At 47.2% G+C, this 24294-nt stretch overlaps 1 protein-coding gene across 3 annotated transcripts in view, besides 6 other annotated features; it reads left to right on the top strand.

The window, feature by feature from the left end:
• DGKG (diacylglycerol kinase gamma) overlaps positions 1 to 24294 on the top strand; it is a 215034-nt gene that overhangs the window by 100886 nt on the left and 89854 nt on the right. For 2 of the 3 annotated variants that reach the window (NM_001080745.2, NM_001346.3), the window contains 5 exons: positions 836 to 910; positions 3410 to 3495; positions 8167 to 8256; positions 9430 to 9590; positions 18781 to 18845. In NM_001080745.2, the coding sequence (NP_001074214.1) occupies positions 836 to 910; positions 3410 to 3495; positions 8167 to 8256; positions 9430 to 9590; positions 18781 to 18845 (477 nt within the window). The remainder of the gene's footprint in view (positions 1 to 835; positions 911 to 3409; positions 3496 to 8166; positions 8257 to 9429; positions 9591 to 18780; positions 18846 to 24294) is intronic. The other variant, NM_001080744.2, reaches the window with a different exon arrangement.
• Positions 5113 to 5192: a silencer, noted in NCBI's record as "silent region_14982". NCBI's record gives its function as "represses an Ori minimal core promoter by ATAC-STARR-seq in GM12878 lymphoblastoid cells {active_cell/tissue: GM12878}" and the evidence as "EXISTENCE:reporter gene assay evidence [ECO:0000049][PMID:35858748]".
• Positions 5773 to 5822: an enhancer, noted in NCBI's record as "active region_20937". NCBI's record gives its function as "activates an Ori minimal core promoter by ATAC-STARR-seq in GM12878 lymphoblastoid cells {active_cell/tissue: GM12878}" and the evidence as "EXISTENCE:reporter gene assay evidence [ECO:0000049][PMID:35858748]".
• Positions 5853 to 6142: an enhancer, noted in NCBI's record as "active region_20936". NCBI's record gives its function as "activates an Ori minimal core promoter by ATAC-STARR-seq in GM12878 lymphoblastoid cells {active_cell/tissue: GM12878}" and the evidence as "EXISTENCE:reporter gene assay evidence [ECO:0000049][PMID:35858748]".
• Positions 6243 to 6302: an enhancer, noted in NCBI's record as "active region_20935". NCBI's record gives its function as "activates an Ori minimal core promoter by ATAC-STARR-seq in GM12878 lymphoblastoid cells {active_cell/tissue: GM12878}" and the evidence as "EXISTENCE:reporter gene assay evidence [ECO:0000049][PMID:35858748]".
• Positions 13146 to 13195: an enhancer, noted in NCBI's record as "active region_20934". NCBI's record gives its function as "activates an Ori minimal core promoter by ATAC-STARR-seq in GM12878 lymphoblastoid cells {active_cell/tissue: GM12878}" and the evidence as "EXISTENCE:reporter gene assay evidence [ECO:0000049][PMID:35858748]".
• Positions 19046 to 19095: an enhancer, noted in NCBI's record as "active region_20933". NCBI's record gives its function as "activates an Ori minimal core promoter by ATAC-STARR-seq in GM12878 lymphoblastoid cells {active_cell/tissue: GM12878}" and the evidence as "EXISTENCE:reporter gene assay evidence [ECO:0000049][PMID:35858748]".

Below are 24294 nucleotides of genomic sequence, written 5' to 3'. Positions count from 1 at the left end.
GCCCGTTGATTAGGACCTGCTGGGCTACCGTCACCCGTGAGAAGCCAGTGCATCCACCTCATCAGTTTGCTGAAATGCCCAGTTCAGCGGAGGCTAGAAATTGCTGAACAGCACAGGTGGACAGGGAGAATGGTTAAAGCAGCTCTGCCTCCCAATTCCGGGATCATTAACAGATGGCACCGTGATCTGGAATCCAGGTTAAAAAATAATAATTAGTAGAGTTAAAGCAAGAACTATGAGGACCCCCACCCCTGTCCAAGGGGCAGGACACCCCTCCTGAACTGACCTGACAATTCCAAGCTGGAGCCAGGAAAGCAGGCCTGGGTGCAGTCACGGCCTCTCAGCGCCCTCCCTCCCCCACAGCCCAACACCACCTCCTGCGTTTCCTCCTGATCCCAGGACTGCAGGGGGCCTCTCCCTGGGGAGGAGGGGGTCCTGTGATGCTTTTGTACAGTCTGCAGAGGGCAGAATCACACTGCCTAGACCATACAGAACATTTGGGAGAAGGTCTCTGTGGAGGATAAAGCTTTAGAATGAAAGTTCTGTTCTCTGGGTTTCTCTGCCCTGTCCTCTTTGTAAGGGGCGATGCTTCTGGGCTTAGGAGCTGGAGTCTAGGTTGGTAGTTCAGCCTTGAACCGGGAGTGATAACACGGGTGATGCCAGGTGGAACCTGGACGCCAGGGTCAGCAGGCAGTGCCCTCCCCTCCGGGGTTTAAATGAACCCTCATCCCTGCCACCAGTGGGCTCCAGAGGTGTTTGCCCTAATGTGACTTCTCACGATGACATATTCCTTCTCTGTCTCTCTCTCTCCCTCCTTTTCTTTTTTTTTCCATAGAATTCTTCGGAAATTCCACTATCTGCTCAACCCCAAACAAGTTTTCAACCTGGACAATGGGGGGCCTACTCCAGGGTATGGAGATCACAATCTTTACCTCTTATTTCTCCCCCTCCCTTTTAAACTCCAATGAAGATGCCTCTTTTGTCACCTTTTTTTTCTTTCGTCTCTCAACTTGTTCCTTCCTGCCATTTTACTCCCTTTCTCTGCTTTTTCTCACGTCTGACTCTGACTCCTGGAGATACTCAGGATGCCCAGGAAGGCTAACTCTGTTTGAGAAGTGGCCTCCTGTAGCTTGTCCTAGAAAAAGTTATTTTATAAGAGGGGGAAAACTGCACACACCTTTCATTTGATTGACAGGAGGAACAGGCTGGTAAATTATTTTAACTTATTTGCAAGGCTCTGTTAGCTGGTGTCTTCATACTGAATCATCAGAGAAGAGAAAGTTTTCTTATCATTGTCAGTCAGCAGTTTGGAAATCTAGACAGTGACTCAGAGTTCTGCCTTGGTGTTCCGTTGTGGGGTCATTTTAGGATCAAGACAATTACTTGTTCAATGGAATCACTTTTGTTTTCTAAATCATTCGATTTTGAGGTTGTTTTGCTCCTCCTGCCACTTACTCATTGGCTATTCTCTTCTCGTTAGCATGGGGTTGTAAAGAGGCCTGGTGGGAGGCGTGGTCCCTGTGTCTGCGGCTAATGGTGAGCTGCAGGTCTCTGTGATGCGGCCCCTACAGCACCTGGGCTAGAAGGCCAGGAAAGCCTGGGCTTCCTCCCAGTCCGGGCCGGTGCTCGAGAGCCCTCTACTGGCCGGCCCCGGGCCCGGGGCTGTCTGCATACTCTGGGCTGGGCTTGCCCAGCACGCAGCCATTTGCCCAACCTCCAAACCAGGATTTCTGCTCCGGGTTCAGCTAGACCCCTCAGAGAGGTTGGAGTAAGGACTCTGAAAAGAGAATTTGACCCTGTCTTTGGTTGGCTGACACCAAAGCTATTGTTTATGGCAGCGGTAGTACAAGGCCCAGTTAAAAAGAGAAAGAAACATAAGTGCGGATTCAGTACACCTGCCATGATTTACCTGTAAAAGTAATTTCAGAACAGAGCCCACCTCTGTACACCACTGCAGTTGCCATCACAGTCACCGTGATTGCCATCACTGCTGAACAGTACAGCCTTGTGACGGAGCAGCCCCCCACAGACACCTTTACCAGCCCACTGTCAAAACTGGCAGACAGTCCTCCAGCTTCACCTCGTGTATTCTAAATTGTTTTCATCTGAGACGACGAGCCAGGTGGCTACTTCCCGGGCTGATACGCCCTGAGGGTCTCTCATGCGCATGTCACTCTCTAATCAGACAAGCTGCCTAGCTGGAGGGAGCGTCTGTTCAGAATTCACTTCCCGTCGGAGAGTCCCGTCGGAGAGCAGAGTTCTGCAAGAGAAGGAATGTTAATTTGCCTACACATGCATCAGTGATTCTGAAAGCTCCAGGGCTCTTCTCAGACCACCAGGCTGGGCAGATTGGAAATATTGACCTTAGGCTTCCCAAGTTCCACCCCCAAGGTGTCCGCAGGGCACATTCATTCTAAAGCAGAGGTTCTTAACTTTTTTGTGCCAGGAACCCCCTTGGCAGTCTGGTGAAGCATAGAAACCCCCTCTTGGAATATTTCTTAATGCATAAATTTAATAATAAAAGGTGACCAGGGAAACCATATCAAAAAACAGTTATTAAAACAGTAAAACAAATTAGTGATATGAGAATATATGAGCTTCACCAATACGTCAAATAGGAAGACCCAGAAGTGGGTCTAATAACTACCGTAAATTCCAAGCAGTGATGAGCATGGCAGTGGTATGAGGCATCTGTCACAACCATAATGAAACACTAACATGGCTGTGATTTTGACCGCTGACAAAGTCATGGGTATGGTTCCAACCTCTGTGGTCTGTTGCCTACATGCTGAATTGAAGGAAATACTACTAATTTCAGTTTGAGCTTAGGGAAAATAAGAATGTATTATTTTCTCCTCCAAGTTAATGGCCCTCTGAATCCAATCCATAGAACCCTTGGAGGTTGGTGGACCCCAGGTATAAGCACCCTGCTCTCCAGGGTTAAGGCTCCTGAGAAGAGAAGGGCATCACTCCACTCACTGTGGCCCACAGGAGAGTGAAGAGAAGATCCAGCAAATTCGGTGCATCTTGCTTACCAGGGCGGGTGTCAGGACAGAGCAGGCAGGAGAGCCCGAGAGGAGTGAAAACACTGGGGGCTATTTGTATTGACGCCAAAACTCTGGACTCCTCTGCGTAACTAGTACAGAATTTCTAGAAAACCATTTTCCATTTGTGTCGAATGTTGAGTCAGATTATCCTTGCACAAGGATGGCCCCCTTGGCCTTGGCTCCATATTCAAGGCACTGCATAGTAACTTCTGGTTTCAGAACATTGAGTGACCCTTTCAACCACAAAAGGAATCGAGGTCTTAACATACTCCTGGGGAACAGGGCAGACTCTGACTCAACATGTATCAATGTCAGCTGCAACCTAGTAACAAGCCCATTTTGGCCTTTCTTCTTCTTCCCAGGTTGAACTTTTTCCGTGATACTCCAGACTTCCGTGTTTTGGCCTGTGGTGGAGATGGGACAGTTGGCTGGATTTTGGATTGCATTGGTAAGCATGGGCTGAGAGGGCGTTTGCTGCTTATTTATAGTAAGCGTATTTACAATCAGCAGAAGGCAATAAAAAAGAAAGAGACATGGAGCCATGTCTGTTCATCCTTGTATCTTCCCCTGGACCAACACTTGACTAAATATTTGCTTTGGGTGGAAAAAAAAAAAAAAAAGAAATAAGACAATCGAATGATTCCCTCCAATACGGAGGTAACAGTTTAGTTTCAGGCCTTTCCTGTAAAGCAGATCTGTCATGGCTGGGGTTTGGGCAGTGGCAGGACAGGCCAGATTTGGGGGGTGGGAGGACAGGAGTGGAATTCTGGGCAGACCCTTTGGGGTTGGTAAAGGCCAGAGAACTAAGCATAGATCATAGCCTGGGACAAATCACCTTGAGATGAACACCCGGAGCCTGAGTCCAGAAAGTGCATCTAGAAAGTACAGATCAGTGCAAGCAAAGAAGGACCACACTGAGCTGTGTCCAGTAGAGTACATCTAGATAAAAAGGCCCAGGCCAGAAGGCTGGTAGCCTGAGTTCTACCCAGCTCTACCTGGATCTGTGGGTCCTCGGACACATCAGCCCCAGTAAGTGATGGAAACTGACTGAAATTCTGGGATGGAAGCAGAGTCAAGATCTAACCCTACAGAACCCAGACAAACACTGCAAAGTGTAATATAAGGACAAGAAAGCGGCCGGGGGAGCACTGGGGAGGACAGTCATCAAAGTCAGAGACTGGGCCCTGAGCGATGAGCCCTGGGCTTTCCATTCTTCATCCCAAAAATGCTGCCTGTGCTCCATGATGTGTCAAGCTCTCCCCAAGGCACTGGAGATACAGCAGGGAATGAACGGACAAAAATTCCACTTTCATGGAGCACACCATGTAGAGGAAAGAGACAGGCAATGAACAATTAAATAAGTGAGACATAGTATGTCAGGAAGTGTTTAAAGTACAGCAGGGAAGGGGCACAGGGAGCTCAAGGCTGCAATCTAACACCTGACAGAGAAGACAACATTGGCATGGAGATCTGGAGGAGGGGTGAGTCAAGTGGATACCTGAGGAAGGGCAGTCCAGGCAGAAGGAACAGCAAAGACGAAGGCCCTGCAGTGGGAGCAGGCCAGGCTGCTGGAGGCAGGCCAGCATGGTCAAAGCAGAGTGGATTCGAGAAAAGCTACAGCGGATGAAGCAGAGGTGACGAGGGGCCAGGTGACTAGGACATATAGGGCATTCTATGGAATATGGCTTTTATACTGGGAGGGTCCCATGACATTGGATGGTTTTGAGCAAAGGAGGAACATGACAGATTAAGAGAAGAGGGCAGAAGCGGGGAGATCAGTTCGGAGGCCACTGCAGCAGTCCAAGTGAGAGATGTCCAGGGCTTGGACCACAGGAGAAACAGAGTGGTGGTGAGAAGTGGCCAGCTTCTGGATATCTTTAGAAGGTGAAGGCAATACGATTTGCTGACAGACTGTATGTGGGAGATGAGAGGACGAGGGAAGTCAAGGACAAGCCAGGACTAGACCGTGACCAGGGCAGAGAAAGCCGTGCCTCCGGGGGCTGTAAGTAGACCACCTAGCTGGGCGAGAAGGCTGCAGGACCGTACACCTGCCGCCCGCCACTCCCCCGGGCGCTTTGGTTGCCATGGACACAGCCCTGCCAAGCAGCCACCCACGCTCTCCTGTCACCTTGGGCTCTGGAGTTGTTTGTGGGAGGAGGGAGGAGTCCTCCGGGAGCCAAGGAAGGAAAAGCTGATCTGCAGAGGGTGGATGGCTGCGGTACCGGACTACTCACACGGCTCCCTCTCCACCATGAGGGAGAAGTAGGCTTTGGCGGAGAGCTTTATGCAGTTCATCCGCAGAGGACACAGGTGATAGAAGCTGCTCAAAACAGAAAGAAGGAAGATCACAGAAGGAGGAAGAAACATTAGTTTTTTTCACAGGTTAGTGACCCAAAGAGAAAAAAGCAGAAGCAAAAGGGATAACTGCGTAAGATATTCATCCGTTCACTCTCATTTCAGCACTTGTTCAGTGCTCTGCAGCGCCCCCCCATGGTCCCCTCTCTGATCTGTTCTCTCCCTACACCCATAGCGATCTTTCCTGCATGTCACTGGGTGCATGGTGTGCATAAAGCACACCAGTGGCTTCCATTATTCTTGGGATAAAGACAAAACCCTTGAAGTAATCTACAGGGCCCTGGGTGGTCCAGCTGCTGCGCACCCTTCCAGCCTTATTTCTACCTCCATCCCTCTCCATCTGGACTCAGGTCCCGGCCCATCTCTCAGACCCCTGGGCGTTCCAGTCTCCCTTGCACCTCAGGGCCTTCACACAAGTTGGCCACCCTGTCTGCAGTGCTGCCCCAGCCTTCACTCAGTCAGCTTCCACTCCAGATCTCAGCTGACATGTGGCTTACTCAGGGGAGCCTCCCCTGACACACCCACCAGCCTCAGTCACCTTCTTATACGACAGTGCTCCTCTGTTTGTTTTCCAACGTGAATGTGAAATGATGCATTATCTCCATGGATTCCTCATTATTATCTGTCTGTCCCACTGGACAGTCGGTAAGCACCATGAGAACCCAAGCCACGGCTTTTTTGCCCACTCTCAGAGCCGGAGCACCTAACACTGCATCTGCATATAGCAGGCTTCAGTCGATATGTATGAAGATGCTGTGAGAATGAGACCCAGTCCCCCTCGGGGAGGTTACAATACATTCAGGGAACAAACAAGGAGATAATTACAAGAGAGTACAAAGAGATCATTTCTGGTGCTAAGGAAATATTCTGACGAGGCACCAGGTCCAGGCTGGGGCAACTAGGGAGGGTCTCCCAAAGGCAGCTTCTGAGCTGAGCCACAGAGAGCTTTGTGCTTTAAGGAAGTGAAAACACTTGAGAACGGTTGACATGTTGCGTGGGAGGCAGGATGTGCAGAAGGATGAGGCTAGGGAGAAAGGCAGAGCCTGCTTCCTGGGCCTACTGTGGTAGGCTATGGGGCCATGAGGAGCCACACAGCCCCATCCCAGAAGTGAAAGCAGTGAGCCAGTGCGAGGGACTGTGGTTCATGGACTTCCCTTCTTGGTGAAAGTGTGGGTGACACACTAGGAGGGTGGAACTGGAGGCGGAGAGAGCCGAGAGGAGGCTGTTGCAGCGATACCAGTGGGAAGGAATCATACCTGCACTCAGGCATCACCATGGGGATAGAGAGAAGAGATTGCTTGGAGATCTAGTAAGGAGACAACACATAGAATGTGATATGTGAATGGATGTGTGAGGGAAAAGGAAAAACCTAGGGCGGCATACAGCTTTCTAGCCTAAACACCATAACAACAGTTGACCTGCCGAGGTGGGGACACAGAAGAAGGGGCAGACACAGGAAACAAGAGCCTTCTAGGCAAAGGGAGCAGGCTGTGCAAAGGCAGGGAGGCAGTGCTCTGAACACATGTTCTGAGGACAACGAGAGGGGCCATTGCATTGTTTTGCTCTCTATCTCAAGCCTTCCAGTGGCCATCTCAGTCCTGGGTCTTGCCTGCGCTCAGCCATTTCTGATATAGGTCAGACAACCTGGAGGACCTATGAGCTCCCAGTTTGCCAGGACAACCCTAGCTTGAGCCTTCCCTGCTGATTCCTGCATCTCTCCTCACGCCGCAATCACATTGCTCACATCCAGGGGCACCATGCGTGCTGAGGTCTCATGGAAATACCCACCCACCCCCAAGACTGATGGATGCCTGTGCCCTCTTCAGCTCTCCCAGCCTAGACAATATGCCACGGTAGATCTGAGGCCAGATGAAAACATGTTCTATTGTGCTTTCTCTGATGGTTCTGTCTGATGTCCTTCACAACTGTCAGAAGAGGAATAATTAGGAATCTGTGTCATTGCAATTCTGAGAGGTGGTGGAAGTGACAAACTGGTTGTGGGGGCCAAATAACACCTGGAGGTTTTGTTCATTTAGCTAATGTTAGTTTTTAAACTTTTAAACTCGAGTGGTGAACAGTTGAAGGTGAGCATCTTCAGCTTGTCCAATGTCCCACTATTCCCTAGTGTCCTAGCCCCACCTGTTTTACTAATCTGTATACCTGCCTGGCCCCTGAAGAGAGGAGGGGAATGGACTTGGAGCCATAGAGATCTGGGTTTGAATCCTGGCTCTGGAATTACTTTCCCTGTCTGCCATTCAAGTATTGACCAGGCCTAGCTGCTGCAGTCAGATGAGATTGAGCGTGTTCAGGGTAGAATGGTTGTAGACTACTTTCCCTCTGTCAATCTCAGTTTCTTCAGCTACTTGAAGGAGGATAATCCCTTACAAAGTTAGGCTGAGGAATAAATGGAGTAAGTGCTGATTATCATTAAGGATTAAAAACATGCAACTTAATGTTTTGGGGTGTATGCTGCCACCCCAAAGGACAGATTTAGGATGAAATTTGAATAAACATATGCAAGTTGCAGGGATACAGATTTAGCTCAATATAAAATACAAATGGACAGATTTAACTCAATTAGTGGTGGTTAACACGCTGCAGATGGGATAGATGGCTTTAGGAAGTAGTGTGTTTCCCATCAGGGTGGTATTCAAACAAAGAATGCTATGGAGGGGTTCAAGCATCAGATCAGGGATAAAAAGACAACTCAAACATTCTACAGTCCCATGGCATATGGTTCTCTGTTCCTCTGTGTGTCTTGCAGATAAGGCCAACTTTGCAAAGCATCCACCAGTGGCTGTCCTGCCTCTTGGAACAGGAAATGACCTTGCCCGTTGTCTCCGCTGGGGAGGAGGTGAGTTTGCATGCTAATGGTGGTACCCTGGGAACAGGTGTTCCTGTTTACAGAGATGCTCTACAGAGCTAGGCTGAACTTACCCTTTTATGGATCACATTCCGCAGCATAATACTCAACTCTGCAGTCATGTCAAGTCCATGACCCTTTCTCTGCCCTCCATCCCATGCTGAATCTAGAATAGAAGCCCCTCTTCTGGGCTCTGGGAGCTTTTTCTCCCTCAGCCCCGAGTTTACTATCATCCTGAAACCATCAACTTAGAGCCTGCTTTCCCCAGTAGAAAGCAATCAACTGTAGGGTAAAGACAAAGTCTCATATGTCCCATCCCCAGAGTCCCATCCAAGAAGGTGCTCACTTAGATGTTTTCTGTGTGAAATTCCCTCTCCCACAAATGGCTGATCTTCTGAATTAGGACTAAAACTGAGGACCAAAATGCTACATCTCCAGTTACTTACCGTCACTAGAAGCATTCAGATCATCCTAAGCCCCATAGCCATGGGCCCTCATTTTGAAATTTCCCTAAGAGGAAACACAGAGTGGTAACCAGTGTATAAGACAAGGGGCAGAGAACTTTGCAAACTGCAGTAGCCCCCATGGCGTTGGACATGCGCCAGAAAATGGAGAAGTTCAGCTCAACACATGGAGCAGACAGATCAGGCTGCCGGCCAGAAAAGGGGTGGGGACTCCAGATGGCTGCTAATTCAGAGAATGAGTCAAGACCAGGCAGTGCAATGGTCAGTGTTCAATGATCAGCTATGCTTGGTGGGCAGTGTCAAAGCAAGCAGGACCTAGGCCTAGCGGCCATCTTAAAATTCTGCCTGCCACACTGTCCATCTCCCACATGACACAGCCCAGAAGGATCTGCTGTTCTCCCATGCAGAGACTCCCAGCCATCCAGCCCACCGCTTCTCCAGGGTTTGCTTCGCTTCAGCTACACAGGCCTGTGACCTTTAGCTAGCACCCACTCCCTCCCCTGCCCCCAGCCTCTGATTACTTTCAGTTATCCTGCCCTTCTCTGTGGCTCGGGGAACGTAAGTGTCTCTAGCCCACAGACACAGTGGGGAGTCCCATAGTCACAGATGCCCTGGGCTTACCTGCCCTGACAACTACCTGTGCATTAGCAAGAATACAGCCTTTCTGCTGTGGTGGCAAATGCAGTGCTGTCCTCCACAGGTTATGAAGGGGGCAGCTTGACAAAAATCCTGAAAGACATTGAGCAGAGCCCCTTGGTGATGCTGGACCGCTGGCATCTGGAAGTCATCCCCAGAGAGGAAGTGGAAAACGGGGACCAGGTCCCATACAGCATCATGAACAACTATTTCTCCATTGGTGTGGTGAGTTGGTCAAAGATCACCTTTCTGTATGGAAGGGAAACGCCCAGGAAGGGTTCCAGCCTTCTGTTGTCCCCTCTGGGTCCCTAGTGTCTACCTGTCTTACCTGCCCCCCCAGCCCTGAGTTGGGTCCAAGCATTCTGAAACTTGGCCTGAGTGTGGACACCCTGATTGCACCCCCGCTTTATTCCCCATCTCTTGCTTAGGGAGTAAATTCTCTCCTCTGTCATTTTAACTAACACAGGAAAAGACAGAAAAATTTTCAAAAGACATATTTTCTCCTTCTGCAATTTGTAGCAGTCGTAGAAAAGCAACACCAAGAAATAACCGGGGGACAAGGTTGGTAGGAAACTCTCACATGAGCTTCAGGAACTGGGAATTCTGATCTTCAAAGGAAGACCATGTGGTCCCAAGTTGCCCTGGCTGGCTTAGCCCTCAGATTTCCTTCTCTCCTATTCTCTCTTCTCTCAACCCCATTCCACTCACTCCATGGGCATCATAAACCTCTAGGGGAGTCTCCTCCCAGCTGACCCCTTAGGCTGAATGCTGTGAGCCTCCTTGATGCTCCCACAGCCCTTATGCTCACCCCATTCATGCACACTCTGCATTAGGTTGAAGGAATTGGTTTAATGTGCTTATCTGGTGCCCCCCACTGCCATGCACACACACACACTCCCTCAGTGCAAGGACAGCACTCTGTTCCTTTTTCACCCACTAGCCCCAGCACATCTAGTGTAGCTCAGCTTCTGGTCCAAAGAGGATTGGAGTGGGCACTGCTTCCCAGGCTGCTGTGAACAGGATCGGAACAGGAGGGGACAGATCAATCATTTCTATAAATGAAGCTGGGGGTTGGGAGGGGGTGGGAGTGCAACAAAGACACTAGTATTTACTTTTTTTAAGAATGACAGAATTGGTCAGGCACGGTAGCTCACGCCTGCAATCCCAGCACTTTGGGAGGCTGAGGCGGGCAGATTGCCTGAGGCCAGGAGTTCGAGACCAGCCTGGCCAACATGGTGAAACCCCATCTCTACTAAAAATATAAAAATTAGCCGAGCGTGGTGGTGGGTGCCTGTAATCCCAGCTACTCGGGAGGCTGAGGCAGGAGAATTGCTTGAACCTGGGAGGAAGAGGTTGCAATGAGCCGAGATCACGCCATTGCACTCCAACCTGGACAACAGAGCGAGACTCTGTCTCAAAAAAAAAAGAATGACAGAATTATTGAACTATTTGTTCTTTTTTTCAACAAATATTTATCAAATTTTTTCCCTAAACTTTTATTTTAAGTTCAGGGGTACATGTGCAGGATGTGCAGGTCTGTTATGTGGGTAAGTGTGTGCCATGGTGAGTTGCTGCACACATCATCCCTTCACCTAGGTACTAAGCCCGGCATCCATTAGCTGTTTCTTCCTGATGCTCTCCCTCCCCCAACATCCCCACAGGCCCCAGTGTGTGTTGGTTTCCCCCTCGTGTCCATGTGTTCTCATCGTTCAGCTCCCACTTGTAAGTGAGAACAGCCACTAGCATTTATTGAGTACCTGTGTGCTCTCCACAGTGCTAGACTGTACATATTCCAGCCCTCACAGTAGTCCTGCAGGTATCATTATCCTGCTCATCTCACTCTACAGATGAGGCTTCGAGACCCTTGACTCGCATGGTGGTGCCTTGTTCTGGAGCCAGGTTCTCTCCTCTCTGTTCCCTTGTCTTTGGAGTTGTGCTGCCCAGTTTCACATGCATATGAAACCCTCCAGACGAATCCTCTGCCCCAGACTCTGTGATACCTGCACTCCTCAACCATCCTCAGCTGTGTTTCTTTTGAAATTTTGGTATTTTAATTTTTTTTAAAGGAAAGAGAAGGAGAAATGATAGGTGGCTTGAGGGGATAGCAAGTTTAAGTAAAGGGTGTTGTTTTGTTTTGTTTTGTTTTGTTTTTGAGACGAGTCTCACTCTGTCACTTAGGCTGGAGTGCAATGGCATTATCTCAGCTCACTGAAACCTCCGCTTCCCAGGTTCAAGCGATTCTCCTGCCTCAGAAGTTGGGGTTACAAGCGTGCAATACCACATCCAGCTAATTTTTGTATTTTTAGTAGAGATGGAGTTTCACCACATTGGCCAGGCTGGTCTCAAACTCCTGACCTCAAACGATCCACCTGCCTCAGCCTCCCAAAGTGCTGGGATTACCGGCGTGAGCCACCATGCCCAGCCTAGGTTTTATTTTTTTAATAAGAAGGCTAAATAGAGAACCATGGGAGAAGAAAGGACTAAAAATAATAATACCTTATATTTACAGAAGGATTTAAAATTTACCAAATTCACAGATATATTCTGAAGGGCATTATTATCTCTATTTTATGAATAAGAAAACAGAGACTCAGATTAAGGGATTTGCCTTTATTCTCTGACTCCTAATCCGGTGCTCTTTTTCTATTACTAAAGCAGAAGAGGGAAGCATTGCTGGGCCCATGATCGGGTTCTGAGAGGGTGGAGGTGGTAGACTGGGAGCAAGTTTAGGGGTTCCTATGTCCCAATCTGATTCATCCCACTGGATCCCCGGCCTCAGCTGAGGGGAATGTTTCCCTAGACCTCTTCCAGGTGCCCCCTCCAGTGACCCACGCAGATGCCCTCCCTCCTCTTCGTGCTCAAAGGCCCCTCTCCTTTTTGGACCGGCTGTTCAGGCTCCGCTTCCCCCAGCAGGAACATGTGCAGCCTTCAGCTCCTGCAAATTAGACATGACTGACAGGTCCGGGGTTCTGGAGCGTGGGCTTCCCATCATTACAGTTAAAAAAAACTCATATGTCTTTTTCCTATAGTAACCAGAACATAACTTGCTAACATTTATTGAGTACCTACTGCACACCAGACATAGTTTCCCTGCCAGTGGAGGCAGGCATTATCCATTTGTGTTTTGTAAGAAGGAACCATAGCTTAGAGAGGTACAGAAACAAGTTCAGGCTGGTGAGTGGCAGAGCTTGGAATCATAATATTTGAACTCTAGAGCCAACTGAGCTGTGGACCACTGAGCTTTGTGCCTCCTTGAAGCCCCCTCCGTCTTCATGTTGCCAAATGTAACATGGTTTGAAAGAGGGGAATCTCAAAATTTAGTTGTGGTGGCTCACCACCACCTCTTATCAGAAATGTAAATTCCACCCCCACAACAGATGCTGATTCATATTCCAACTCAGTAGGTCTGGGTAAGGTCTGGGAACTGGCATTTTTAACAAGACCCTGAGATCATTCTGATGCAGATGGTCCTGACCAAGTTCTCAGGGAGTGAAGACAACCTACTAGAGCAGAGAAGAATGGTCAAAGGAAGTGGCTCTTCGCTGGCATGGAAGCCGGAACTGAAATAAATGGAGAGGGAAGCAAGGAAGGAGGGGAGAACTAGCCCTCTAAGCAACGGGCTGGAAGCCAGAGCTGAGGAGCAAGACTGGCAGAGCTGCCTGGGAACTTCTAGACAGCAGGTTACAGCGCAGCTGCCTGCAGAAGCTTCAGCCCCACCTCTTCCCTTTCTAACACACCCAGCTCTGGCTGACAAAAACATGGTTCCCCACACCTCCCTGTCTCAACACAGTGCCCTGTATAAGATGGCCCTCCTTAGTATCTGCTGACCAAATGGATGAACACACAAAGAGGAATGGACAGCCTTCCCTCAACTAAATAGCCAGGCCCTAAACCCAAGAGCCAAGACTATTCAGTAATCATAGTTTTAATTTATTCTAGCAAAAAAAGTAGGAAAAAAGGAAGGAAGGGAGGGAGGAAGGAAGGAAGGAAGGGAGGAAGGAAGGAAAGAAGGAAGGAAGGAAGTCCTGCTGGCTGGCTAATTAATTGTCCCCAAGGAAACACATATAAACAGATTCTCCATCACTCTCAGTGGTCAAGATAATTTACCTACCTTGGGCTGACTTATAATAATCCAATCTATTCATCTTTCCAATTATGAACAACTTCACAATATCTTTCTTGTAATTTTTTTCATACACCTTTAGCTTATCCATGTTTAATATTATGTTGCAGAAGAATGAGAAACCAGGGCTGTTCTCATCTCATTGGTGTGCCCTTGGCTTTCTCTCAATAAAATGTTTGCAGGGTTTGTATGCTCGCTCTTTAAAAGTTGAAAAGAGAAATTCTTGAGAAAACAAGTAACCAACACGCAACCCTAACAGAGTCTGGGGCTGACATTTGCAGAAGGTCTTGCTCCCTATTTGACTTCCCAAACTTTGTAAGAGAAGTAGGTATGTAAACCGAGGAAGTTTTACTTCCTTATGATGATCAAATAGAGGCGGACTCCACTGGCAAAGAGAGCCCTGCCAAGGTCTTTGCCTCTTTTGAAGGACCTAGAATATCTTATGATAGCAAACATCTGTTGCTTTGTATTTATAAAGATGATGACAATGACCTCTGAGACAGTGCCCTTGGGTGCTGTGGGTAGAATTTTCTCTGATGAGTTTACTGAGACCCCTTGATGCCAACAGAACCCATTTAATAGCTGAGGGAATAAATAAGGCAGGGTCTCCTGGCCTCTCCAGGGAGTGACTGTGCCCTCATTGCTACGACAGCCCCATCCACACATCAGTTTCTCACCAGTGAGAAGCTAAGATCGTTGGCCTTATCAGTCCTTCTAACTGATAATATCTACTGGCAGGAGATTTTAAACACAGTCATTCAGGATGCCACTTCCTCTGACTTCTCTGGCCTGCTCCTCCCTGTTCTTTATTTTTAGATTAGCAGAAAATGTCAGGATGGCCAGGTATCAGTGACAGGAAGTTTGGGACTACAAAATAATTCCCAAGGTATGTGTAACTCTGAACTCCTCACAAGCTCTGCTTTCATGAGCCTTAACAGGACGGGTGAACAGCTAATCCCTTGATTCAGTGAAATCTATTTCTGATGCTAGGGGAGCCCAAGGGCCAAGGAGAGGCCACAGTGGTTGCACTGACCCACGCACCGTTTTCCACCTTGCAGATCGTTCCTAGCTATCACCAGACAAGCTTCCCACCATGATAAGCGTCCTACACATAGGGAATTTCTCAACAAGACATAATTTTTCCTGCAGATTCTTGGATTCTGCTGGCACCAGGTTATTTGTCACCTGTGAGAGCCATGAAGATACTAATACAGTGGGACTCCCCAGAGGGACGTGGACAAGGGTCTATACCCTTTTCCATTCCCCAATCTCCCATAATTTTCAGAACAACCCCAATTTCAAATAATCTGTCTTATGGTCTCCTTTCCATCTTTTTATCTCCGTAAATTGCCAAAGTGACTTAGACCTGTGTTATCCAATGTAATAGCCATCAGCCACATGTGGTATGACATGCTTGAAATGGGGCTTGTCTTAATTAAGATGTTGAGTGAGCTGTAAGTATAAAATATACAATACTTTTCAAAAATGTGATATAAAAAATTAATGTCTCAATAATTATTCTATTCCATGTGATGATAATATTCAAGGCTTATTGGGTTAATGAAAATATATTATTAAAATTAATTTCAGGCCAGGCGTGGGGGCTCACACCTGTAATCCCAACACTTTGGGAGGCTGAGGTGGGTGGATCACCTGAGGTCAGGAGTTTGAGACCAGCCTGGCCAATGTGGTGAAACCCCGTCTCTACTAAAAGTACAAAAATTAGCCAGACGTGGTGGCAGGTGCCAGTAATCCCAGCTACTTGGGAGGCTGAGGCAGGAGAATCACTTGAACCCAGGAGGCAGAGCTTGCAGTGAGCTGAGATCATGGCACTGCACTCCAGGCTGGGCAACGGAGTGAGACTCCATCTCAAAAAAATAAAAAAATTTAAAAATTGTTTTAAATATTAACTTCATCTGTTTTTTTTTGTTGTTGTTGTTTTTTTGTTTGTTTGTTTTTTGTTTTTACTTTTTTATGTGGCTACTAGAAAATGGTAAGTTACATTTACATGTGTAGCTTACTCTGTATTTCTATTGGATAGCACTGGCCTAGATACTCCAATATCTCAGAGTCCAAATGACTGATGCATGTACTTGGAAGGGGCCCAAATTTCTTTGTCCACCCATGTGCTTGGAGTTGTAGTTCAGGAAAGAGGCTCTATGTCCATACCTTCCACCATCTCCTCTTCACCCCACACCTGAAAGAAAAGACCTCAGAGAGTAAGGCTGTGAGAAATGCTATCATCACTTCCATGGATTTGTAATTCCCATCTCCTGCCTTCAGAACAGAAGTCTCGCTTTGCCTTAATTATCATCAAGAAAGGGTTTACGCCTTAATAACCAAGAAAGGGTTTGAACCATCGTAGCCCTGGTTTCCCAAATTTAAATGAAGTCACTACTGATTGTAAATATGCTCAGGTCATTGCCTGACATAGAAGCTCCAGAGAGTGAAAGTGAATCTCGACTCTCTTTTTAATCCCCAGATAGAGAAACGTGGTCAGAGTCTTCACCCTCATTGCCTTTTTAAGACTTAGAAAAGGAGCTGCTCTACTCTCCCTTGCTACTTTGTGTATTTGCCAAGGGATTACATTGTCAAATTAGGGACCACGTGCTTCACTAATAATGTTTTAAAGGCTGGTCTTTGTAAAAAGCATCTTTGCAAAACCTAGTTATGGAAAAACCAAAGACAATCAGAACTGCATGGAAGGAGGGGGCCTGTACACATATCCCGGAGAATAAAAAAGCTGGGAGTCAATCAGCAGTATTGGGGGTAGGGGATAGCGAAGTACAAATTGTGCCAGGCAACATGTGATTGCTTTTTTCTTCCCCGCCCCCCTCCACTTTTTTTTTCCTGACAGACGAAAATTAGTGCTTCAAAGGAATAGAAGTAGATGGAATATTTTCTCGAATTTTAGAGAAGCATTTGACAAATGTCACATGAATCTTATTGAGGGTGTTCACTGAAATTTGCTCAGAGAGTGGGAGGTGGGTACAGTCTGGGAGCATGAAGTGCTGCTGCCCAGGGAAGCGGTGCAGGCTGGATAGGCCTCAGGGACAGAGGCCTCTCTGGGGTCCGCACATCTCACCCGTGCACCCATGGGGGTGCCTCTCCAAGACCTTAAACTCTTAATATATCTTAAGCTAAAAAATAAATTGGCCAGGCCTGGTGGCTCATGCCTGTAATCTCAGCACTTTGGGAGGCCAAGTTGGGCAGATCACCTGAGGCCAGGAGTTTTGAGACCAGCCTGGCCAACATGGTGAAACACTGTCTCTACTAAAAATACAAAAAATTAGCCCGACATGGTGGCGGATGCCTGTAATCCCAGCTACTCATGAGGCTGAAGCGGAAGAATCTCTGGAACCTGGGAGGTGAAGGTTGCAGTGAGACAAGATTGTGCCACTGCACTCCAGCTTGGGTGACAGAGTGAGACTCTATCTCAAAAAAAAAAAAAAACATCAATAGCTAAAGTTTAAATTTTAAACTCTCAAAACATCATTTTAGCAAAGAATGTTTGCCAATCACAAAATAAGCCCATCTTCTCCTCTTGCCCTGCCACCTTTCAGATGTGGGCTGCTGGACTCCTATGCCAGGTGCACCTCACCACACAGAGTTCATGCTCAAAAAGCTTCTTCATAGAACTATACCTCTTGATGCTTAAAAACACACACAGAGGCCAGGTGCAGTGGCTCACATTTACAGTCCCAGTACTTTGGGAGGCCGAGGCGGGCAGATCACCTGAGGTTCGAGACCAGCCTGGCCAACATGGCGAAGACCCGTCTCTACTAAAAATACAAAAATTAGCCCGGTGTGATGGTAGGCACCTGCAATCCCAGCTACTCAGGAGGCTGAGCCAGAAGAATTGCCTGAACCTGGGAGGCAGAGGTTGCAGTGAGACGAGATCATGCCACTGCACTCCAGCCTGGGCGACAAGAGCAAAACTCCATCTCAAAAAAAAAAAAAAAAAACACAGAAATTTTCATATAAGAAATAGAATTAATATGCATTTGATGAAAATTCAAAATTCACTGCATGGAATTTCAAGTGTTTTGTAGCCATGTATTCCAGTAAATGGGTTTGTATATTTTTCATTGCAAAACAAATCTAGTCAACTCCCTGGTTTCTGTGTCACCCCCCATCTCCGGCTCAATTAGCCTGTTTATTTCTGAAGCCCAGCACCTGCACCCAAAGTACCAGTATGGGGCCTGAGCGGTGAAGGGGCGTTACACATTCTTCTGCTGGAAAATGAGACCATTGTCGAGGGTGGAAGACCGAGTTTGAGGAGGAAAGACAAGTTCCGTTTCAGGTTTGAGGCTTAGGGTTGGCTCTAGAGATTGACACTTTGGAGCTATCATCATTCAGATGCTGGTAACAGCCACGAGAACTCACGAGATGGCCACGGTGTGGAGTGGGGGCCGCAGGTAGAACCCAGGGTTAGGGAGTTGTGGTCAGAGGATGGAGAGCCCAGGAGCACAGTGCATGACAGCCATCCTAACTGTGAGTGCTGGAGTGCAGGGGGCCGCTAGTGTGGCAAAGGGATGTGCTAATAGGAGGGCAGTGTCCACATGATGTAATAATGACTCTTATTGGCCTTGGAGGGAGTCCTTCGAGTGAAGTGATCAAGAAGCAGAAGCCAGAGTTTAATTTTGTTTTATTATCTAGTAAGCATGTTATCCAGTGCCACTAATTATTTCTATTGGTGTGGATGGTTAAGACTTAATATCTAATAGCATCTACCAATGTCAGGTTTCTGGTTTTGACAATATCCTATAGTTATATAAAATGTTATCATTGGGGGAAGCTGAGTGAACGGGACCTAGGAACTCTATGCTATTTTTGCAACTTAATTGTGAGTCAAAATATTCCAAAATAAAAACTATTTTAAAAAGAACTAGTATGGAAAGTCATTTCCAGAGACTCATGCTCAGCCCCAGACACAGGCTCCTGATCTCTAACTGCTCACAGACTCTCAGTCTCCCCAGAGGGCAAAGGCTTTCCCCTTCACTCACCCCTGAACTATCTATCTGTTCTCAGCGGGTCCGGGCTAGAGTGAAATAGCAAGGACTCCAGAGTCAACTGGCATAGGCTGTAAGAGTATTGGTGGTGCTAGCTCATCCCCCTGGAGGCAGTGTTGAGCCTCTGTTGGCTCCGCGGATGTGACCTGGAGCCCCACCATGCGATAGATAGAGTCCCAGGGTTGGCATGACTCAGCGAGTGCATGCGTGCGTCCCTTCCCTCCGCACTGCACTGTCATGACCACTCACCAAGGATCTGCTTTGTCTCTTTCACTTTCAGGACGCTTCCATTGCACACAGATTCCATGTGATGAGAGAGAAACATCCTGAAAAATTCAACAGCAGGTAAGCTGCAGGCCCGGCTGCGCTGCCACCCACCCAGTGTGGCCCTGGCGGAACAGAGGCCTTTCACCTGCTCTCTGGAAATTTTCCCAGCCAGGGCCGCTGGGGACTTGGCCTTCCTGCCACTTGCCGGAAGGAGGGTTTCCATTTCCAAGAAAAAAAAAAGTGTCAGAAACTTGGCGCAGGCTAACTGCCTGTCCTCTCCCAAAGGATCTGTGCAGAGGGCAGGGCTGGAGGGCAGGAGGTGGGTATGAAGGGCCTGCTTTTGCAGGGGAGGAGGTGGGAGGGCGTCTGCCCTTGTCTAACTGGAACCCCCGTCCTGAGTCTCTGCTGCTTCCAAGTACAGCGCCTCCAACCCCAGCCCCTCATGATTCTTTTGGGGAAGAGCAGGGAGGCTGGAAGAGACCCTAGCTTCTGTCGGTCTCAAATGGGAGGAGGTGGCAGCTCCGGGACTTGGACCAGGAGGACCAGAAGGGTGTCTCCTTTGCCTCCCCCGACAGCAGAGGGCAGCAGCAGAGAGGTACCTGCAAAGGCTGGAGACCCGGAACCCACTAAGTCCCAGCCTCAGCCTGGGCACTCTGTGAAGTCACCAAGTTAGGTTCAAAAATGAAAGGAAAGAGGAAACCAGATCATTTGCAAGAGAAAGCAAACCCTTCTTCCTTGTAGGATGAAATTTGCCAGAACTTAGTTGTGACTGACGTATAGCTACCCCTTTCTCCCTCTTTCCTTCTTTGTCTGTATCTTCTCATTAGTCAATTTTCATTCTTTCTTTCTTTTTCTTTGTTGTACTATTTCAAGATGACCACTATTTCAGACACTGTTCCCACCCCAACCCTAGGTAGGTTGGGAGAAGAATGGATAATGATTTGGACTTTGTTTTTGAGCCTAAAGGTGTTGACTTTTATTTAGCCCACAGAATTGTCTTTTTATTTATTTATTTATTTATTTATTTTTGAGATGGAATCTCACTCTGTCACCCAGGCCAGAGTGCAGTGGCGTGATCTTGTCTCACTGCAACCTCCTCCTCCCAGGTTCAAGCGATTCTCCTGCCTCAGCCTCCTGAGTAGCTGGGACTACAGGCGTGCACCATCATGCCTGGCTAACTTTTGTATTTTTAGTAGAGATGGGGTTTCACTATGTTCACCAGGCTGGTCTCAAACTCCTGACCTCAAGTGACCCGTCCTCCTCGGCCTCCCAAAGTGCTGGGATTACAAGCAAGAATTGTCCTTAAAAGAGAGGTTAGAGTGTTCATTGAAGACATTCATTTAAAGCCCAGGACCCATCATTTTCATCACTGGCCATTTTCATTCCTACTCTTTGTCCTGACCCCACAGCCTGAGAAGTCAACCAAGAAGAAGGAGGTCTTTTTAGAGGTCAGAAACTGAACACTATAGCTTCAGAAAGAGCGATCTGTGGGATCCGATAGCAGCTGAACGAACCTTTTAGGAAGTGCATCCTGCCACAGCATCTTCTTGCTCTCACACACACAGACTATACACACTCACTGCACACTAGGAACACGTGTACTTCCAGCCCCTGATACTATAGTCACAAACTTACAGTTCAGATGATCTCCTCTAACGGTCTTTTGCACTCCCAGATACACACAAACCACTTTTTTAAAAAGTACTCCTCTTCAACCCATTCCTCAGGCTTTTAAGGTCCTCTTTTCACACAAGTATCTTTTTTTTTTTTTTTTCATGGAGTTTCGCTCTGTTGCTCAGCCTGGAGTGCAGTGGCGCGATCTTGGCTCACTGCAACTTCCACCTCCTGGGTTCAAACAATTCTTCCGTCTCAGCCTCCCAAGTAGCTGGGATTACAGGCACCCACTACCACACCCAGCTGATTTTTGTATTTTTAGTAGAGACAGTGTTTCACCATGTTGGCCAGGCTGGTCTCGAACTCCTGACCTCAAGTGAGCCACCCACCTCAGGCTCCCAAAGTGCTGGGATTACAGACTTGAGCCACTGCACCCGGCCTCACACAAGTATCCTTATACGTACTCATGCACATGTGCCATATGCTTGTGAAAGCCACGGGGCTCTGTTCATTCATTCATCCATTCATTCAGCAGATCTTTTGAAAACGTAATGCACACCAGACACTGTTCTACAGGCATTTTGGACAGACGCATGTAGGGGACTCACAGCCTGGTGCTGGAAACAGGCTGGAAAGCAGATGTGCAGAATGGTTTGTGTTAAGTGATGTAACTGGAGGTGACCTATGGGAGCAAAAACCAAGGACACGAAACGTGGCATGGAGGGTTTTCCAATGACAGAGACGCCTGAACCAAGACACGGAAAAAGAGGAGGGCAACACAGGGAGAAGGAAGCAAATGTACGAAAAGATACGAAGGAGTGAGAGGGTGCAGTATACTTGTGGAAGAGCAAGATGTTCAGTGTGATCAGTTGTATGGTCTCGGCAGAGGAAAGAAACCAAACATCTGTAATTCCCAGAAAGCAAGGAAGCAGAGGGAGGGAGAAATTTCTCCATATGCCAAAAATCAATAGGCAGGCCAACATATGACATAAATAGAGCAATCATCCATCACCCACATGATTAAGTACAATTAGAAAGACACATCCGTCAGAAAAAAAAAAAAAAAAAGATTGTAGCGTGCATTTTAATGCAAAGTATGAACAAATTCACTGTGATCTGTAGAACTGTTTTTCCTTCTCCCTTCCGAGATCCTATAAACAATACTTCTCTCTGAGGGTAGGTTCTCAGCTCACTCTTCACCTGACTGAGGTCAAGGTAGCATGGATGACATGGTGACAGGCCCACGGATTTGCACGTAAACCTGCGTGCTCGCCTAACAAACGAAGACAGAAGGGCTGAGGTAGCACCTATTTCACAAGGTCACCGAACGCTTCCTATGAAGAACTTTGCATACATACTGCTTCTACCCTGCCTATTCGCCCATGTCTAAAATACCCAGGAGTGCCCAATTTGTCCACTGAGAGGCAGGCAAGCAGCCATTTTCTTCAGGCTTCCTTATTTAGCATTGGAGATGGTTTTAAATAGGCAGGTGGTTGTTGCCATGGTTACCCCATTACACCAGCGGCTAAACTTAGGAAAGGCCGCAAGGCATAGGAAGAAAGCTTGATACCCAGGATTTGGAAATGTAAACGGCATTATCAAACAAGGCCTATTTTACTCAGCTGAACTGAGGTTCTCCAAAGAGTAGTTACTGCTTGGCCGGAAGCCTTTACCATTACTGCCCAGGTTTGGACTCTCAGGGATAATCTTGAGGTTAAATCTTGGGAGTTGTCATTGCTGTGTTTTGTTCTGTTTTGTTTTGTTTTCAGCAAGGGAGAGTGACTAGTCAGGTCCGGAACACTTACCAGGAAACCGGAATCATTCACGTTGCTGATTCCCTTTTCTTGGCTATTCTAACAAGAATTCTTAACCTGGGATCCAAGGGCTTCAGGGGTTTTGAGAACACCTTGAAATTGTACTAAGGTACTGAATGTATTTTTCTGCAGAGAATGTCCATAACTATCAGAAGATTCTTAAAGGAACCTATACTCCCAAAATGTTTAAAAGTCACAGGTCTGAGGCCTCTTTGAATCCTAAGAGGCATCAAATTATGACTCAAATGTTGGGGTTTCAGGAAATTCTTCCTCCATGGCCTCTCTAGATGGGTTGTTGCCAGGGAAGATAGTGGGTTCCAGAAAACCAAGTTATGTTCTCTGATGGAATAGTTTCATTAATGGAGCAAGAACCAGAACCGAGGAGGCAGGAATACGAGCCATGTATGATGGGCAAAAAAGAAAAGGCCTTTAACGGCAGAGATGGGGTTATTTTTGGCCCTGTCTACCTCCTAGTTATCAATAGGCTAATCATTAATTGCTAATTGAGGAATGTTAGGGAGATTATCGTCTCACTGTTGGCATAAAGAACAAAAGAGAAATTTGATTCAACTGAGATTCTAAAGTGTTTGAAAGTGATCTGGAATAAAGGGCACATAAGATGTGGCCCCTGCCTTCAAGGAAATCGTCGTCTAGCAAAAGAAAAGGAAAAATAGTGCTCAAGTATTCTTTACAAAATTATTTTAACATACAAGGTGGTTACATTTCATAGGTGATATAGTATACAGGAAGTCGTATAATATGTAAGAACTTATTAATGGTCATATCCCAAACATCATTTGCAAATGGATTGTTTTCTTTTTGGGGGATGTTTTTGGTCTTTTTTTTTTTTTTTTTTTTTTTAGAAAGAGTCATTCTGTCACCTGGCCTGGAGTGCAGTGGTGTGATCTTGGCTCACTGCAACCTTTGCCTCTCAGGTTCAGGTGATTTTCCTACACAGCCTCCTGAGTAGGTGGGATTAAAGGCACACACCACCACGCCTGGCTAACTTTTCTTCCTATTTTTAGTAGAGATGGGGTTTCACCATGTCAGCAAGCCTGGTCTTGAACTCCTGACCTCAAGTGATTTGCCTGCCATGGCCTCCGAAAGTGCTGGGATTACAGGTGTGAGCCACCACTCCTGGCCAAATTGGTTGTTTTAGGTGTAGCAATAGTGTTAAAGGGGAACCTGACTAAGAACTGTTTTCATTTTTTTAGCTCCTCCTAGATGCCAAGTGGTGAACTAGGGTCTTTAAATACATTAAATTATTTAAATCACAAAACAACCTTTCAAGATAAATATTAGCATTCCCATTTACAGATAAAGGAACTGACACTGGAAGAAACCAAGTCAACTAACAAAAGTCATGTATTTTTTAGGCAGTGGGGCTAATTTAATTTCTGACCTAGCTCTTCACTCCAGAGTCCAAGCTCTGTTTGCCGCAACTGCTGTCTCACATAGATTTCATTGAGCAAGCACTGATGTATACCAGACACTCTGATAAGTACTTTATACATCATCCCACTCATTGCTCACAATAACATGCAAGGGTAAGTGCTACTGTCCCCATTTTAGAAATGAAGGAACTGAGGCTAAGGAGGATGGAGCTGTCATTGGCATCATCTGCCTTTATGGATTGTCTCTGTGGGAAAATGCCTGCTGAGTTCCAAAGGGGAGGAGAACAGGTACACCATCCAGTCATACCTTGTATGGTGTGAGCATTCTCCCTGTTTCCACGTCCACAGCAAGGAGCAGGACTGGCTGTATGATCTGTGTGACCCAGTGCAAAATTAAAAATGTGAGGCCCCTTCCTCAAAAATGGGACAGCAAAGCATTAAACTAAGCACTGAGCCCTCTTAAGTGTGGGGCCCTGGAGTCCACATCTCACACCTATGAGGTGGCCCTGGCAAGGACAGAGGAATTAATAAAAAGAAGACACTTTTGCCAGTAGTCACAGAGTAGGGTGTTTGCAATAAAGTCAAAAGAATGGAGGAAAGAGGGTTTCAACTTAGGGAGAAGGAGAGGGACTCTCAGTCCCACAAACAGGCAGCAATCAGTACTAGCAGAGGAGCCAAGAATCCCGTCAAAGTCTTCCAGATAGC

Source organism: Homo sapiens, chromosome 3, assembly GCF_000001405.40.
Source record: "Homo sapiens chromosome 3, GRCh38.p14 Primary Assembly".
Lineage (NCBI taxonomy): Eukaryota > Metazoa > Chordata > Mammalia > Primates > Hominidae > Homo > Homo sapiens.
Note: the sequence above shows the minus strand (reverse complement) of the source record. Positions and strands in the feature narration are given on the sequence as shown.